The 18,732-nt window shown below is 46.4% G+C and overlaps 1 pseudogene, besides 2 other annotated features; it reads right to left on the bottom strand.

Annotated features, from left to right (window-relative positions):
* Positions 484-1,263: an enhancer, noted in NCBI's record as "NANOG-H3K27ac hESC enhancer chr9:136957777-136958556 (GRCh37/hg19 assembly coordinates)". NCBI's record gives its function as "activates a minimal SCP1, AML or CMV promoter by ChIP-STARR-seq in naive H9 embryonic stem cells {active_cell/tissue: H9 hESC(naive)}" and the evidence as "EXISTENCE:reporter gene assay evidence [ECO:0000049][PMID:30033119]".
* Positions 1,264-2,043: an enhancer, noted in NCBI's record as "NANOG-H3K27ac hESC enhancer chr9:136956997-136957776 (GRCh37/hg19 assembly coordinates)". NCBI's record gives its function as "activates a minimal SCP1, AML or CMV promoter by ChIP-STARR-seq in naive H9 embryonic stem cells {active_cell/tissue: H9 hESC(naive)}" and the evidence as "EXISTENCE:reporter gene assay evidence [ECO:0000049][PMID:30033119]".
* ARF4P1 (ARF GTPase 4 pseudogene 1) lies at positions 14,171-15,217 on the bottom strand (annotated as a pseudogene).

The raw sequence follows: 18,732 nt of genomic DNA, 5'->3' as shown, positions 1-18,732 counted from the left end.
CCTGCAGAACAGTGAGCCGATTACACCTCTTTAGAAATTACCCAGTCTCAGGTTCTTGCACATGATAGCTGTGTATGAACAGACTAATACAGTCCTCTTGGCACTCTTATTGAAAATTAGTTGACTGTATCTGCTTGGGTTTATTTCTGGGCTGACTTTCCACTGGTCTATATGTCTGTTTTTATGCTAGTACCATCCCACTTTGTTCACTATAGCTTTACTATACAATATATAGTAAATACACTATAGTGTATATAGTATATATGGTATATAGTAAATAATAGTATATAGTATATAGTAAATACACTGCAGTATTTATATATACAGTATAGTATATATATACTATATATATATTCTCTCTATATATATATAACATATGTATATATATTTTTTAGACAGGGCCACTCTGTCACCCAGGCTGGAGTGCTATGGCACAATCATGGCTCGCTGCAGCCTCTGTGTCCCAGGCTAAAGCAGTCTTCCCGCCTCAGCCTCTCGAGTAGCAGAGACTGCTGCGGGGAAAAGCAAGAGAGATCAGATTGTTACTGTGTCTGTATAGAAAGAAGTAGACATAGGAGACTCCATTTTGTTCTGTACTAAGAAAAATTCTTCTGCCTTGGGATGCTGTTAATCTATAACCTTACCCCCAACCCCGTGCTCTCTGAAACATGTGCTGTGTCAAACTCAGGGTTAAATGGATTAAGGGCGGTGCAAGATGTGCTTTGTTAAACAGATGCTTGAAGGCAGCATGCTCCTTAAGAGTCATCACCACTCCCTAATCTCAAGTACCCAGGGACACAAAAACTGCGGAAGGCCGCAGGGACCTCTGCCTAGGAAAGCCAGGTATTGTCCAAGGTTTCTCCCCATGTGATAGTCTGAAATATGGCCTCGTGGGAAGGGAAAGACCTGACCGTCCCCCAGCCCGACACCCGTAAAGGGTCTGTGCTGAGGAGGATTAGTAAAAGAGGAAGGAATGCCTCTTGCAGTTGAGACAAGAGGAAGGCATCTGTCTCCTGCCCGTCCCTGGGCAATGGAATGTCTCGGTATAAAACCCGATTGTACGTTCCATCTACTGAGATAGGGAAAAACCGCCTTAGGGCTGGAGGTGGGACATGCGGGCAGCAATACTGCTTTGTAAAGCATTGAGATGTTTATGTGTATGCATATCTAAAAGCACAGCACTTAATCCTTTACCTTGTCTATGATGCAAAGATCTTTGTTCACGTGTTTGTCTGCTGACCCTCTCCCCACTATTGTCTTGTGACCCTGACACATCCCCCTCTCGGAGAAACACCCACGAATGATCAATAAATACTAAGGGAACTCAGAGGCTGGCGGGATCCTCCATATGCTGAACGCTGGTTCCCCGGGCCCCCTTATTTCTTTCTCTATACTTTGTCTCTGTGTCTTTTTCTTTTCCAAGTCTCTCGTTCCACCTAACGAGAAACACCCACAGGTGTGGAGGGGCAACCCACCCCTTCAACTACAGGCGTGTGTCACCACGCCTGGCTAATTTTTGTATTTTCTGTAGAGATGGGGTTTCACCATGTTGCCCACGCTGGTCTTGAGCTCCTGGGCTCAAGGCATCCACCTGCCTTGGCCTCCGAAAGTGCTGAGATTACAGGCATGAGCCACCACACCAAGCCTCAACATCCTTTCTTGATAAAAACTTTCAACAGTTTAGATATACAAGGAAATTCCCTCAATATAATAAAGGCCATTTATGAAAAGCCAACAGTTAAACCAAAACAGCTAACTTTCAGCTAAACTGAAAGCTTTTCCTTTAAAGTCAGGAACAAGACAGTATGCTCACTCTTGTCTCTTCTATTCAACGTAGCACTGGAAGTAATAGCAAGAGGAATCAGACAAGAAAAAATAAATAAAAGCAATCCCAATTGGAAAGGAAGAAGTAAAATTATCTCTGTTTGCTATGACATGATTCTATTTGTAGAAAACCCTGAAGACTCCACAAAACAATTGTTAGTTGAACTAACAAACAAACTCACAGGATACAAAATCAACATATAAAAATCAGTTCTGGCTGGGCACAGTGGCTCACACCTGTAATCCCAGCACTTTGGGAGGCTGAGGCAGGAGGATTGCTTGAGGCCAAGAGTTTCAGACCAAGTTGGGCTACACAGCAAGACCCTGTCTCTCTCTCTTAAAAAAAAAATCAGTTATATTTCTTTATATCAATAACAGGACAGCTGGAAAGGAAAGCAAGAAAACAATGCCATTTACAAAGGCATCCAAAATAATAAAGTACTTAGGAATCAATTTAACCAAGAAGATGAAAGACCTGTATACTGAAAACTGTAAAACATTGATGAGGCAGGGCACAGTGCCTAACACCTGTAATCCCAGCACTTTGGGAGGCTGAGGTGGGCAGATCACCTGAGGTCAGGAGTTTGAGACCAGCCTGGCCAACATGGTGAAACCCTATCTCTACTGAAAATACAAAAAATTAGCTGGGTGTGGTGGCAGACACCTGTAATCCCAGCTACTGGGGAGACTGAGGCAGGAGAATTGTTTGAACCCAGGAGGCAGAGGTTGCAGTGAGCTGAGATCCTACTACTGCACTCCAGCCTGGGCAACAAGAGTGAAACTGCATCTCAAAAAAAAAAAAAAAAAAAAGGTGATGAAAAAATTGAAGACATGAATGAATGGAAAGATAGCCTATGTTCATGGATTGGAAGAATTAATATTATTAAAATGCCCAATACTACCCAAAATGATCTACAGATTCGACACAATCCCTATCAAAATTCCAATGGCAGTTTTCACAGAAATAGAGAAAAACAATTCTAAAATTCACAGGGAGCCACGATAGTCTCTGAATAGCCAAAGCAACCTTGAGAAATTAAAAATAAAGCTGGAAGCATCACACTTCCTGCTCCAGCATTGGTTTCTTCGTTATGACAAGTGTGCCTTGGTGATGTAAGAAGTTAACAATGGGGGAACTGGGTTGGGGGGGCGGTCTGTAGGAACTTTCTGTACTGTCTTTGTAACTTTTCTACAAATGTAAAATCATTCTAGCTGGGCATGGTGGCTCACGCCTGTAATCCCAGCACTTTAGGAGGCTGAGGTGGGCAGATCATGAGGTCAGGAGATCGAGACCATCCTGGCTAACATGGTGAAACCCCGTCTCTACTAAAAATACAAAAAATTAGCTGGGCTTATTGGCAGGTGCCTGTAGTCCCAGATACTCAGGAGGCTGAGGCAGGAGAATGGCGTGAACCCGGGAGGCTGAGCTTGCAGTGAGCTGAGATCGTGCCACTGCACTCCAGCCTGGGCAACAAAGCGAGACTCCATCTCAAAAAAAGAAAAATCATTCTAAAATAAAACGTTTTTAAAAAGTGAGTAGAAACATGATCTTTGGCCAGGAGGGTGTCTTTTGGGGCCTTGGCTCATCACGGCCTAGTGACACTCTCGGGCAGGCATCCATCCTCCTTTCTTTGTCGGCTACAGCTGGTGTCACTACCCTGAACGGCCTTGGGCACAAGTGGGGCCCAAAAAGTCTGGGCACCTAGGAAGACAAGGAGGGCTGCAACTCCTTCTGCAATGTCACCTCAGCCTGGCAAAGCTCTAGGGGTCATCATGATTGTGTACAGTCTCCACTTTCTGACCCCCTTCTTAACCTGCCACTTCCTGGCCTCTGTGGACACCCTGGTGTATGCACAACCTTGTACATGTGGGCACAAGGCCAGGGAGCCGAGTGGTTATGCCCCCGGGCATTGGCACTAGACTGTGTCCAGTCCAGGCTCTGACACCTACCCATACATGTCTCTTCTAACCTGTGGTTTCCTCACATAAGGTGGGACAGGGACAGCAGCCACAATGTTGAATCCAAGGTAGTCCAGGGCTGGAGCAGAGAAGGGCTGTCTGGTTCTGGATGCGCTGTGCCCCATTTGCAGGTGAGAGCACGCAAAGAGGAATAGGAACAGACGCCCCAGGAACGAGAGGCAGCTGGCAGGACCCCGCCTCCTCTTTCACCTTCTGTCTCCTGACACCTACTTCCTGTTCTGTCCGAAGCCTCTTAGGAAGACAGGATCTTCATGCCTCTCTCTCTCTCTGTCTGCCTCTCTCTCTCTCTCTCTCTCTCTCTCACACACACACACACACACACACACACACACACACACACAGTCTCATTCGCATTCCCCGACTTATTTCAGAAAACCTTCACGTCAGCATGACTCTCCCCATCCCCAAAAATGCAGACACGCCCCACGGGAGTGCAAGGACATGAGCAACAATGTCTTTCCCTTCTTTTATTTCTTAAAATTTATTTATTTATTTATTTATTTTGAGATGGAGTCTCGCTCTTGTCGCCCAGGCTAGAGTGCAGTGACACGATCTTGGCTCACTGCAACCTCTGCCTCCCAGGTTCAAGCGATTCTCCTGCCTCAGCCTCCCGAATAGCTGGAACTACAGGCACCAACCACCACGCCCAGCTAATTTTTTTATTTTTGATAGAGACGGGTGTCACCATGTTGGCCAGGCTAGTCTCGAACTCCTGACCTTGTGATCCGCCTGTCTTGGCCTCCCAAAGTGCTGGGATTACAGGTGTGAGCACGGCGCCCAGCCATCTTTCCCTTCTTCTTCTTATTTTATTTTATTTCATTTTTTAGATGGAGTCTCACTCTGTCGCCCAGCCTAGAGTGCAGTGGCGCCATCTCGGCTCACTGCAAGCTCCACCTCCCGGGTTCACGCCATTTTCCTGCCTCAGCCTCCCAAGTAGCTGGGACTACAGGCGCCCGCCACCGCACCCAGATAATTTTTTGTATTTTTAGTAGAGACGGGGTTTCACCATGTTAGCCAAGATGGTCTCGATCTCCTGACCTTGTGATCTGCCCACCTCAGCCTCGCAAAGTGCTGGGATGACAGGCATGAGCCATTATGCCTGGCCGGGCCATCTTTCCCTTCTTTTTTTTTTTTTGAGACGGAGTCTCACTCTGTCGCCCAGGCTGGAGTACAGTGGCGCAATCTCGGCTCACTGCAAGCTCAGCCTTCCAGGTTCACACCATTCTCCTGCCTCAGCCTCCCGAGTAGCTGGGACTACAGTCACCTGTCACCATGCTTGGCTAATTTTTTGTATTTTTAGTAGAGACGGGGTTTCATCGTGTTAGCCAGGATGGTCTCGATCTCCTGACCTCGTGATCCGCCTGCCTCAGCCTCCCAAAGTGCTGGGATTACAGGTGTGAGCCACCGCACCCGGTCTATCCTTCCCTTCTTAACAGAAGGTATTGATGTACAATTTGGCCTAGATTTAAAGTACCGATTTGAAGAGCTTCAAGAGTCTCCTAAAATGAGCCCGTGTGCCAGTCCAGTGACCTCACCTGCTCCTCACGCTCCCCTTCGCTGCCTGGCAAGGGCCGTGCATGAAGCCTCTTGTGTTGAGCTCATCATCGGTGCCAAGCAGTGGGGACACACAGGGGGCTGAGATAGCTACAGAGCTGCAGCCCCGGGGCCAAGGCAAATGAGATGCGGTCAAAGCCTCGTGCCTGTGACCACACATACACAGTGGGGTGAGTCCTGCCATGGGCAGGGTGTGGCTGCGCATGTAAGAGCTCAAAAGGGTGGGGTGTTGCCAGGGCAGGCTTCCCTGAAGGGAGCCAGGGAGATTGAGCAGCAGAAGCCAGGAGGAGCAGGGCAGAAGAGAAGAGCATGTTCCAAGCAGAGAGAACAGGCTACACCAGAGCCCTGTGGCAGGACGGAGCTTGGCAAGTCTGAGGATCTGGGAGGGGCCAGAGCAGCCCAGACAGGGTGGGCAGGCCAGTGGGCAGACAGGAGCATGCGTGAACTGCAGGCCAGGCTGGGGACATTGTGCAGCTGTGGTACACTGTCAGCAGCAAGGACATGTCCCCTCCAGCTACTCTGTGGAAGCTCAGAGGCCACTGCAGGTACACAGGAAAAGAGGGAGTGGACACATTGGAGGGATATTTAGGAGGTAGAAACCACAGGACAGGGTGGCCAACTGGATGTGGGGAGTGGGGCTGGGGGAAGTCAAGGGTGACACTAGCTCCTAATGGGGCCTTTGAGGTCAGGGGGCTCATACCCAAGGCAGTGAGCCCCAGGGGTCTGTCCTTCACACACTGCCACTGCCGGGACTCCCTGGGCCATCAGGCCTGATGCCCACGGTCCTCCCGTGCCTCTGCTCGCCTCTCAGCACTGTGACCTGGGCGGCCCTGGCTGTGCTGCTCCACCTCGCCACATAGACACTATCTCCTTATCCCCTGGAATTCCTATACTGTGAGTTCCATTATAATCTCCACTTCACACAGGAGGAAACTGAGGCCCACAGAGGTGAAGTAACTTGCTGAAGGTCACACAACAAGGGGCAGAGTTAGAACTCAAGCCCCAATCTGTCGGACACCAACACTCATGCCCTTCACAGCTGCATGGGCAGCTGGCCCTCAGCACCTGCAGAGGACTGGTTCAAGGACCCTGTGGGTACCAAAATATGCAGAGGCTGCAGTCCCTGATGTCAAGTAGCATACTCTTTGCACAGAGCCTGTGCACATCCTTCCATATACTATTTTTTTTTTTTTGAGACGGGGTTTCGCTCTTGTTGCCCAGGCTGGAGTGCAATGGCACGATCTCAACTCACCACAACCTCTGCCTCCCGGGTTCAAGCGATTCTCCTGCCTCAGCCTCCTGAGTAGCTGGGATAACAGGCATGTGCCACCATGCCTGGCTAATTTTGTATTTTCAGTAGAGACGGAGTTTCTCCGTGTTGGTCAGGCTGGTCTCAAACTCCTGACCTCAGGTGAACTGCCCGCCTCGGCTTCCCAACATTCTGGGGTTACAGGTGTGAGCCACCACGCCCGGCCAGATACTTTTTAAAACATTTTGAGATGGGTTCTTGCTGTGTTGCCCAGGCTGGAGTGCAGTGGCGCAAACTTGGCTCACTGCAGCCTCAACCTCCTGGGCTCGAGCAATCCTCCCTTCTCAGCCTTCTGAGTAGCTGGGACCACAGGCATGTGCCACCATGCCCAGCTAATTTTGTTCATTTTTTTGTAGAGACAGGGTCTCTCCATGTTGGCCAGGCTGGCCTCAAACTCCTGGACTCAAGCGATCCTCCTGCCTGGGCCTCCCAAAGTGCTGGGGTTACAGACATGAGCCACTTTGCCCCACCATCTGGTTTAAATATACTTTAAATCATTTCTAGATTACTTAAAATAGCTAGTACAATGCCTATAACATCACTTTACTTGTGTGGATTCAATGTAGTACTCAGTGCACAAATTCAAGGTTTGTTCTTTGGAACTTTGTGGATTTGTTTTTTTTTTTAAGAGATGGGGATTTGTGGCCGGGTGCGGTGGCTCATATCTGTAATCCCAGCACTTTGGGAGGCCGAGGCGGGTGGATCACAAGGTCAGGAGATTGAGACCATCCTGGCTAACACGGTGAAACCCCATTTTTACTAAAAATACAAAAAATTAGCCGGGCGTAGTGGTGGGAGCCTGTAGTCCCAGCTACTTATGAGGCTGATGCAGGAGAATGGCGTGAACCCAGGAGGCGGAGCTTGCAGTGAGCCGAGATCGCACCACTGCACTCCAGCCTGGGCGACAGAGCGAGACTCCGTCTCAAAAAAAAAAACCCAAAAAAAACAAAAAAACAAAAAAAAAACAGATGGGGATTTGCTTTAAAGAGATGGTGTGGTGGCATGTGCCTGTAGTCCCAGCTATTTGGGGGGCTGAAGCAGGAAGATTGCTGGAGCCTGGGAGGGTGAGGCTGCAGTGAGCCATAATCACACCACTGCACTCCAAGCTGGGTGACAGAGAAGGACCCTAAAAAAAAGAAAGAAAGAAAGAGAGAGAGAAAGAAAAGCAAGCAAGCCCATGGGGAAGGAGCCAGGACCAGTTGGGCAGGGGTTTCTCCTCTTCTAAAGACAGAGGAGCAATAGCATCATGTTCAAGATAATGGCCTGCATTAGTCTGTTTTCTGCTGTATAACAGCATATCACAAACTGAATAATTTTAAGGAACAGAAATGTATTTGGCTCATGGTTCCAGAGGCTGCGAAGTCCAACAGCACGGCACAGGCACCTGGTAAGGGCCTTCTTGCTGCATTTATACCATGGTGGAAGGGCAAGTCAAGTACACAAGACAGAGAGAAATTGGGGGCCAAACTTATCCTTTTATCAGGAGCCCACTCTTGTGAAAACAAACCCATTCCAGTGATATTGGCATTAATCCATTCAAGAGGGTGGAAACTAATCACCTCCTAGAGGCCCCACCACTTAATACTGTTACAAGTTTCCAGCATGTGAACTTTTAGGGGACACTTTCAAGCTATAGCATGGCCCTCTGGCCCCATTCCAGCAGTATTAGGGGAGGAGAGAAGGATGGATCATTCCCAGAGATACAAACACCAAATCTACTCTTACCCTATTGGCCACTCCCAGCTGCAAGGGAGGCTGGAAAAGGTAGTCTTTATCTGGGCAGGCCTCACATCCAGTAGAAATCGGGGACTCGATGACTGAGAAAGGGGGTGCATGGGCATTTGGGGTCAACCTGAAGTCTCTACCTACCATATATGGTATCTGCAGTCCAAGCTCATCTGCAATTACCCACACGTCTTCTGATTTCCTCACTCATGATTCCTTCTCAGGGTTCAACATCTGTTTATTGAAGTGTCAATTCAAGTGGGCCTCAGAGTGAGGACAGTTTCTGCCAAGGGCTCTCATGGCAGTTTGAGAAAAAGTCTTTATTTTGCCCTTCCTCATGAACAATAGTGTCACTATTTAGAGGATTCTAGGTAGACAGTTATTTTCTCTCTGGCTTCCTTTTCTGCTATGGACAGCCTTGCTGCTATTCTATTGCCTTTTTTTTTTTTTTTTTTTTTTTTTGAGACGGAGCCTCACTCTGTCGCCCAGGCTGGAGTGCAGTGGCACAATCCTGGCTCACTGCAAGCTCTGCCTCCTGGGTTCACACCATTCACCTGCCTCAGCCTCCTGAGTAGCTGGGACTACGGGCACCCACCATCATGCCCAGCTAATTTTTTGTATTTTTAGTAGAGACGGGGTTTCACCATGTTAGCCAGGATGGTCTCAATCTCCTGAACTCGTGATCCCCCGACCTCGGCCTCCCAAAGTGCTGGGATTACAGGCGTGAGCCACCACGCCCGGCTCTATTGCCATTCTTTTGTAGGTGACACATTCTTTTCCGCTGGTTGTTCTCTCTGTGTTTTAACCTCTTTCCACCTCCCCACTGCTAACCTTTCCAGGGCCCCACTGTTTCTGAAGAGCCTTGGATTGGTGGTGTCTCCCAAGGGTGAAACCATCTCCTTCCCTTCTGCATTCTTCCAGACAACTAGCCATCAGAATGAGGGTGAGCCAGCGGCTTTTAAAAATTATCATTATTGGGCCGGGTGTAGCAGCTCACATCTGTAATCCCAGCACTTTGGGAAGCCAAAGCAGGAGGATCACTTGAGCCCAGGAGTTAGAGACCAGCCTGGGCAACATAGTGAGACCCTGTCTCTCAAAAAAAAAAAAAATTAATCAGGCATAGTGGTGGATGCCTGTGGTCCCAGCTACTCAGGAGGCTGAGGTTGGAAGATTGCTTGAGCCTGGGAAGTCGAGACTGTAGTGAGCCATGGTTGTGCCAGTGCACTTCAGCCTGGGTGACAGAGTGAGACTCTGTCTCTAAAAACAAAATAAATTTTAAAAATCTTACTATGGATGTAACATTCACATAACATAAAATTTGCCATTTTAACCATTTTAAAGTGTATAATTTAATGACTTCCAGCATATTTACAATGCTGAGCAATCATCACCTCTGCCTAATTCCAGCACATTTTCTTTACCCTAAACAGAAACCCAGTACCCATTAACACTCACTCCCATTTGTCTTCTCCCCAGCCCTTGGCAACCTCCCAGGCTCAAGCAATCTTCCCACCTCAGACTCCTGAGTAGCTGGGACCACAGGCATGGACCATCATGCCTGGCTAATTTTTTTTTTTTGATAAACAGCATCTCACTCTGTTGCCCAGGCTGGTCTGTAACTCCTGGGCTCAACTGATCCTCCTGCCTTGACCTCCCAAGATGCTGATATTACAGATGTGAGCCACCATTAATCCACCTTCTGTCTCTGTGGATTTGCCTCTTGTGGACATTTCATATAAATGGGATCATACAAGATGTGGTCTTTTGTTTCTGGCTTCTTTCATGTAGCCCCTAATATCTTCAAGATTCATCCATGTTGTAACATGTATCAGTACTTCATTCCTTTTTATGACTAATACTCTGTTGTATAAGGATATACTACATTTTCTTCATCCATTCATTGGCTGATAGACATTTGTTTTTTCTTGCCTTTTGACTATTATGAATAATGCTGCTATGAACAGTTCTTATTCTTACAAGTTTTTATTTGAGCACCCGTTTTCGGTTCTTTTGGGTGTATACCTAGGAATGGAATTGCTGGGTCATATGGTAATTCCATGTTTAACTTTTTCAGAAACTGCCAAGCTGTTTTCCACAGTGACTGTACCATTTTACATTTCCACTAGCAATACATGAGGGCTCTAATTATTTCGCATCCTTGCCAACATTTATTTTCCTTTTTACAAAAATTACAGCCATCCTGCTGGGTGTTAAGTGGAATCTCACTGTGGCTTTGATTTTGTACATCATTGATGACTCATGGTGTTGAGCATCTTTTCATGTGTTTTTTTGCTGTTGAGTTGTATAAATTCTTTATATATTATGGATACTATGCCATTATCAAATATATGATTTGTTGATGTTTTCTCCTATTCTTTGGGTTGTCTTTTCACTTTCTTGATATGATGCACAAAAGTTTTTAACTTTGATGAAGTTAAATGTATCCATTGTTTCTTTTGTTGCTTGAACTTTTACTTTAGTACCAAATAATCCATTGTCAAATCCAAGGTCTTGTAGATTTACCTCCATGTTTTCTTCCAAGAGTTTTATGGCTTCCACTCTTTTTTTTTATTTTATTTTTTTTGAGATGGAGTCTCGCTCTGTTGCCCAGGCTGGAGTGCAGTGGTGCAATCTGGGCTCACCACAACCTCCACCTCCCAGGTTCAAGCGATTCTCCTACCTCAGCCTCTCAAGTAGCTGAGATTCCAGGCATGTGCCACCACACCTGGCTAATTTTTTTATTTTTAGTAGAGATGGGGTTTCACCATATTGGCCAAGCTGGTCTTGAACTCCTGACCTCATGATCCACCTGCCTCAGCCTCCCAAAGTGCTAGGATTACAGGCGTGAGCCACCACGCCCAGCCTGGCTTTCACTCTTTTATTTTTATTTTTATTTTTTTGAGACAGAGTCTCGCTCTGTCGGCCAGGCTGGAGTGCAGTGGCATGATCTCGGCTCACTGCAAGCTCCGCTTCCCGGGTTCATGCCATTCTCCTGCCTCAGCCTCCCAAGTAACTGGGACTACAGGTGCCCACCACCATGCCAGGCTAATTTTTTTTTTGTTTGTATTTTTAGTAGAGACGGGGTTTCACCGTGTTAGCCAGGATGGTCTCGATCTCCTGACCTCGTGATCCGCCCACCTCGGCCTCCCAAAGTGCTGGGATTACAGGCTTGAGCCACCGCACCCGGCTGGCTTTCACTCTTATATGTAGGTCTTTGATCTATTTTGAGTTAATTTTTATATATGGTGTGAGATAAGGGTCCACATTCATTCTTTTTTAAAAAACTTTTTTTGATAGAGATGGGGAGTCTTACCATGTTGCCAAGGTTGTTCTCAAATTCCTGGACTCAAGCAATCCTTCCATCTCAGCCTCCCAAAGTGCTGAGCTTACAGGCATGAGCCACCTCACCTGGCCCAACTTCATTCTTTTTTTTTGAGACAGGGTCTCACTCTGTCATTCAGACTGGAGTGCAGTGGCACAATCTCGGCTCACCGCAACCTCTGTGTCTCAGGCTCTAAGCAATTCTCCTGTCTCAGCCTCCCCAGTAGCTGGGATTATAGGCATGCACCACCATGCCCAGCTAATTTCTGTATTTTTAGTAGAGACAGGGTTTCACCATGTTGGCCGAGCTGGTCTTGAACTCCAGACCTCAAATGATCCACCTGCCTCAGCCTCCCAAAGTGCTGGGATTACAGGTGTGCGCCACTGCACCCAGCTTCAACTTCATTTTTTGCATGTGAATATACAGTTATCATAGCACCATTTGTTGAAAAGACTATTTTTTCCCCATTAGATAGTCTTGGTGCCCTTGTCAAAAATCAATTGACCACAGATATATGGTTTATTTCTGGACTGTCAATTCTGTTCCATTGATCTATGTGTCTATGCTTGTGCCAGTACCACACTGTATTAGCCTATTCTCATGCAGGTAATAAAGACATACCTGAGACTGGGTAATTTATAAAGGAAAGAGGCTTAATGCACTCACAGTTCCACATGGCTGGGGAGGCCTCACAACCATGGTGGAAGGCAAAGGAAGAGCAACAGCACATCTTACGTGGCAGCAGGCAAGAGAGCATGTGCAGGGACTCCCTCTCTCCCTTCCTTCCTTCCTTCCATCTCTTTCTGTCACTCAGGCTGGAGCACAATGCTGCGATCAAGGCTCACTGCATCCTTGAACTGCTGGGCTCAAGTGATCCTCCCACCTCAGTCTCCCAAGTAGTTGGGACTACGGACGTGTCCTGTGACCAGTTAATTTTTAAACTTTTTTTGTAGAGACAGAGTCTAATTTATAGCCCAGCCTGGTCATGAACTCCTAGCCTTAGCACTTCCCCTGCCTCAACTTCCCAAAGTGCTGGGATTACATGTATGAGCCACTGGGCTCAGCCTAGGATTGGTTTCTTATGAGACCTATCTCCTTGGCTTGTAGACAGCCATCTTCTCCGTATGTCTTCACCTCTGTACTGTCTGTGTCTAGATATTTTTCTTCTTATAAGGACACATGTCATATTAGATTAGGGCCCACCTTAATGATCTTATTTTAACTTAATGACTTCTTTAGAGACACTATCTCCAAATACAGTCACATTCTGAGGTACTGAGGGTTAAGACTTCAACATATAAATTTTGGGGGCTGGCCAGGCACGGTGGCTTATGCCTGTAATCCCAGCACTTTGGGAGGCTGAGGTGGGTGGATCACTTGAGGTCAGGAGTTCAAGATGAGCCTGGCCAATATGGTGAAACCCCGTCTCTACTAAAAATACAAAAAGTAATCAGTTGTGTTGACTCATGCGTATAGTCCCAGATACTCAGGGGGCTGAGGCAGAAGAATTGTTGGGACGCAAGAGGCAGAGGTTGCAGTGAGACGAGATGTGCCACTGTACTCCAGCCTGGGTGACAAAGCAAGCATCTCAAAAAAACAAAAACAAAAACAAAACAAAACAAAACAACAACAACAACAAGAAAGTGGGGTGCTGGCTATGTGCAGTGGCTCATGCTTGTAATCCCAGTACTTTCAGAGGCCAAGGCAGGTGGATTGCTTGATCCTAGGAGTTGGAGACCATTCTGGGTAACATGGCAAAACCCATCTCTACAAAAAATACACACACAAAAATTAGCCAGGCATGGTGGTATGCACCTGTAGTCCCAGCTACTTGGGAGACTGAGGTGGGAGGATCACTTGAGCCTAGAAGAGGTTTCAGTGAGCCAAGATCCATCCAGTCTGGGCAACAAAGACTCTATCTGGAAAAAAAAAAGAAAAGAAAAGAAAAGAAAGGAAAAGAAGAGAAATGGAATGTTAAAGTCTCCAACTATTATTGTTGGACTAATGTTTCTCACTTCAATTCTGTTAGTTTTTGCTCATATGTGTTGCAGCTTTGTTGTTATGTGCATGGATGTTTATAATTGTTATATATTTTTAATTTATTGAGTATTTTAGTATTACATAATGTCTTTCTTTGTTTCTTATAAACATTTTTTCTTAAAGTCTATTTTGTCTGATATGAGTATAGCCAGGCCAGCTCTCTTTTAGTTACTGTTTACATAAAATATCATTTTTCGTACTTTTACTTTTAACCTATTTTATTTTTTGACTGTAAAGTGAATATCTTATATATAGACATCATATAGTTAGATCCTGGTTTTTAAAAAAAAAATCCATTCTGTCAGTCTCTGCCTTTTACTTGGAGAATTTAATTCATTTAGATTTAATATAATTATTTATGCAGAAGTATTTACTTCTGTTATTTTTCTATTTGTTTTCTAAATATCCCTTTTTTTAACACTCAAAATTGATTTATTTAAAGGTTTCACAATAGCTATGTCCAGGCATTTAGGCTTATGGGAAGTAAAATTAAAAGAGGATACTTTTTTCCCAAGGAGGATTTCTTTAAAACCAAGCACATTGCTAAATAGCAACATTATACTTGGTAAACAATAACTGGCAACAAAATAAGTTTAATATTCTACCCAAACCAGTCCCAGATACTGTTTAATAATAACCAAGATACAAACTAATTTTGTTGTAAGAAGCCTAGACCAATTTTATCAAACAAGTCCTTGATTAGACATCCGGTTTCATTTAACGTTTTGAAAGTTCATTTGACAGTCAGTCAAGTCCCTCATACAGACCAGTTCCTTGTGTTGCACAAGTGGCTTGAACATACCATGTTCTGTTATGAAGAAACTGAAGACCTAGTTTATCTGTCATTTCACTGACGGCCATATCATTTGGCAAATCCTGTTTGTTTGCAAAAAGCAGCAGTACTGCATCTCTCAAGTCATCTACCAGAAGCATTTTCTGCAGCTCATCTGCTACTTCCTGAATTCTTCCACGATCATTGCTATCTACCACAAAAATAAGACCCTGGGTATTCTGGAAGTAATGCTTCCAGAGAGGCCTAATTCTGTCTTGACCACCAACATCCCGTACTGTGAAACAAGTGTTCTTATACTCTACTGTTTCCACGTTAAAACCAGTGGTAGGAATGGTGGTGACTATCTCCCCTAACTTCAGTTTATACAGAATGGTCATCTTGCCAGCAGCATCCAATCCAAATAGCAAAATGTGCATTTACTTCTTGCCAAAGAAGCAGGAGAAGAGGGAGGAGATGGTGAGGCCCATGGTGGTAGTGCCACTTGCAATGAGCAGAAGCAGAAGCGGTTTGGGGCAGCCCCCTGCTTTCTCCTTACGTGCTCCAGGCAAACTGAACAAGAGAGAAGAGAAAGAGCGGAGGAAGAAAGAGGGAGGCAGGAACATCTCACTGGCCGCTGTGCTAATGAAGCTCCAGGACACGAATTCTCGGGGAGAGGACCTTCTGGGCCACTGGCAAGGCAGCTCCAGCTCTAGCCTTTAGGCTTCGGCTGCACCACGTCATGCGGCAGCCGCAGCAACTCCCAAATATCTTAACTTTTTTCATGCCCCTGTTCCTCCACTGCTTCTTTTTTTTTTTTTTTTTTTTTTTTGAGACAGGGGGTCTCACTCTGTCGCCCATGCAGGAGTGCAGTGGCATGATCTCCACTCACTGCAACCTCTGCCTCCCTGGTTCAAGTGATTCTCCTGCCTCAGCCTCCCAAGTTAGGAGGGATTACAGGTGCCTGCCACTACGCCTGGCTAATTTTTGTACTTTTAGTAGAGACAGGGTTTCACCATGTTGGCCAGGCTGGTCTCGAACTTCTAACCTCAGGTGATCCTCCCGCCTCAGCCTCCCAAAGTGCTGGGATTACAGGCATGAACCACCACACCTGCCCCCTCCACTGCTTCTTTTGCATTGGATACTTGGAGGTGTACCATTTTGATTTCCTTCTCTTTTAATATATATTTTGTTTTTTTAAAAATTATTTGCCCTAGGGATTACAATTAACATCTTAATTCATAACAGAATTCTGATTAATTTTAACAGTATTCAAAAACTTTGCTCATATATTGGCTCATCCCCCATCTTGTTCTGATTAAAAATTACATATATATATACATTGTGTGTGCATTGACATATATTTACAATTATGTAGTTATTTTTTTAAATCATTTGAAAGGGAAAGAAGAGTTACTAACCAAAAATGTATTATTAATGGTGACTTTTAAATTTGCATATGTAATTACCTTTACTGGTGTTATCTCTTTTTTTTTTTTTTTCTTTTTTGAGACGGAGTCTCACTTTGTCGCCCAGGCCGGAATGCAGTGTTGCGATCTTGGCTCACTACAACCTCCACCTCCTGGCTTCAAGCAATTATCCTGCCTCAGCCTCCTGAGTAGTTGGGATTACAGGTGCACACCACCATGCCCAGCTAATTTTTGTATTTTTAGTAGAGACGGAGTTTCACCGTGTTGGCCAGGCTGATCTCTAACTCTTGACCTTGTGATCTGCCCACCTTGGCCTCCCAAAGTGCTGGGATTACAGGCATGAGCCACTGCACCCAGCCTACTCTTTATCTCTTTACATGGATTCAAGTTACTGTTCAGTGTTCATTTATTCCAGCCTGACTGACTCCCTTTAGCATTTCTTAAATAGCAGGTCTACTAGAAGTAAACATCTTGGTTTTTGTTTATCTGGGAATGTCTTAATTTCTCCTTTTTTCTTGAGAAATAGATTTGCAAGATATACAATTTTGGGCTGACAAGTTTTTTCGTTTCTTTTAGCACTTTGCGTATATCATCCCACTACCTTTTGGCCTTTGTGATTTCTGATGAGAAGTCCACTGTTAACTGTATTGAGGATCCCTTGTACATGAGTTGCTTCTCTCCCTACTTTCAGGATTTTCTTGTCTTTTTTTTTTTTTTTTTTTTTTTTGAGACACAGTCTTATTCTGTTGCCCAGGCTGCTGGAGTGCAGTGGTGCAATCTTGGCTCACTGCAATGTCTGCCTCCTGGGTTCAAGCAATTCTCCTGCCTCAGCCTCCTGAGTAGCTGGGACTACAGGCACCTGCCACCACGCCTGGCTAATTTTTGTATTTTTAGTAGAGACAGGGTTTCACCATGCTGGTCAGGCTGATCTTGAAATCCTGACCTCAGGTGATCCACCCACCTCAGCCTCCCAAAGTCCTGGGATTACAGGTGTGAGCCACCATGCCCAGCCTTCTTCTTGTCTTTCAACTGTTTGATGATAATGTAGCTTGGTATGGATCTATTTGAGTTTATCTCACCTTGAAAAAACTTTTTTGAGTTTCTTGGATATGTAGATTCATATCTTTCACCAAAAATTTGGGAAATTTTTGGCCATTATTCACTGAAATAATCTTTCCTCCTTACTCTCTCTTTTTCCTCTGTGACTCCCATTGTACATATATTGGTATGCTTGATAGTGTCCCACAGTTTTAAGGCTTTGTTAATTTTTTTCTTTATTCTTTTTTCCTTTCTGTTGCTCCAATTGCGTAATTTCAATTGACTTATCTTTAGGTTTGCTGATTATTTTTTCTGTCTTCTCAAATATGCTATGAAATTTCTCTAGTAATTTTTTTTTTTTAATATTTGTTGATCATTCTTGGGTGTTTCTCGGAGCGGGGGATTTGGCAAGGTCATAGGACAATAGTGGAGGGAAGGTCAGCAGATAAACATGTGAACAAAGGTCTCTGGTTTTCCTAGGCAGAGGGCCCTGCCACCTTCCGCAGTGTTTGTGTCCCTGGGTACTTGAGATTAGGGAGTGGTGATGACTCTTAAGGAGCATGCTGCCTTCAAGCATCTGTTTAACAAAGCACACCTTGCACCGCCCTTAATCCATTTAACCCTTAGTGGACACAGCACATGTTTCAGAGAGCACAGGGTTGGGGGTAAGGTTATAAATTAACAGCATCCCAAGGCAGAAGAATTTTTCTTAGTACAGAACAAAATGGAGTCTCCTATGTCTACTTCTTTCTATACAGACACAGTAACAATCTGATCTCTCTTTCTTTTCCCCACATTTCCCTCTTTTCTATTCGACAAAACCGCCATCGTCATCATGGCCCGTTCTCAATGAGCTGTTCGGTACACCTCCCAGACGGGGTGGCGGCCGGGCAGAGGGGCTCCTCACTTCCCAGACGGGGCGGCCGGGCAGAGGCGCCCCCCACCTCCCAGACGGGGCGGCGGCCGGACGGGGGCTGTCCCCCACCTCCCAGACGGGGCGGCTGCCGGGCCGAGACGCTCCTCACTTCCCAGAAGGGGCGGCAGCCAGGCAGAGGGGCTCCTCACTTCTCAGACGGGGCGGCCGGTCTGAGATGCTCCTCACCTCCCAGACGGGGTGGCGGTGGGGCAGAGGCGCTCTTCACATCCCAGACAGGACAGTGGGGCAGAGACGCTCCCCACATCCCAGACGATGGGCGGCCAGGCAGAGACGCTCCTCACTTCCTAGACAGGATGGCGGCCGGGAAGAGGCGCTCCTCACTTCCCAGACTCGGTGGCCGGGCAGAGGGGCTCCTCACATCCCAGACGATGGGCGGCCAGGCAGAGACGCTCCTCACTTCCCAGACGGGGTGGCGGCCGGGCAGAGGCTGCAATCTTGCCACTTTGGGAGGCCAAGGCAGGCGGCTGGGAAGTGGAGGTTGTAGCGAGCCGAGATCAGGCCACTGCACTCCAGCCTGGGCAACATTGAGCACTGAGTGAGCAAGACTCCGTCTGCAATCCCCGCACCTCGGGAGGCCGAGGCAGGCAGATCACTCGCCGTCAGGAGCTGGAGACCAGCCCGGCCAACACAGCGAAACCCTGTCTCCACCAAAAAATGCAAAAACCAGTCAGGTGTGGCGGCACGCGCCTGCAATCCCAGGCACTGGGCAGGCTGAGGCAGGAGAATCAGGCAGGGAGGTTGCAGTGAGCCGAGATGGCAGCAGTACAGTCCAGCCTCGGCTGGGTATCAGAGGGAGACCGTGGA

This window comes from Homo sapiens, chromosome 9 (assembly GCF_000001405.40).
Source record: "Homo sapiens chromosome 9, GRCh38.p14 Primary Assembly".
Classification (NCBI taxonomy): Eukaryota; Metazoa; Chordata; class Mammalia; order Primates; family Hominidae; genus Homo; species Homo sapiens.
This window is presented reverse-complemented; position numbering and strand designations above follow the sequence as displayed.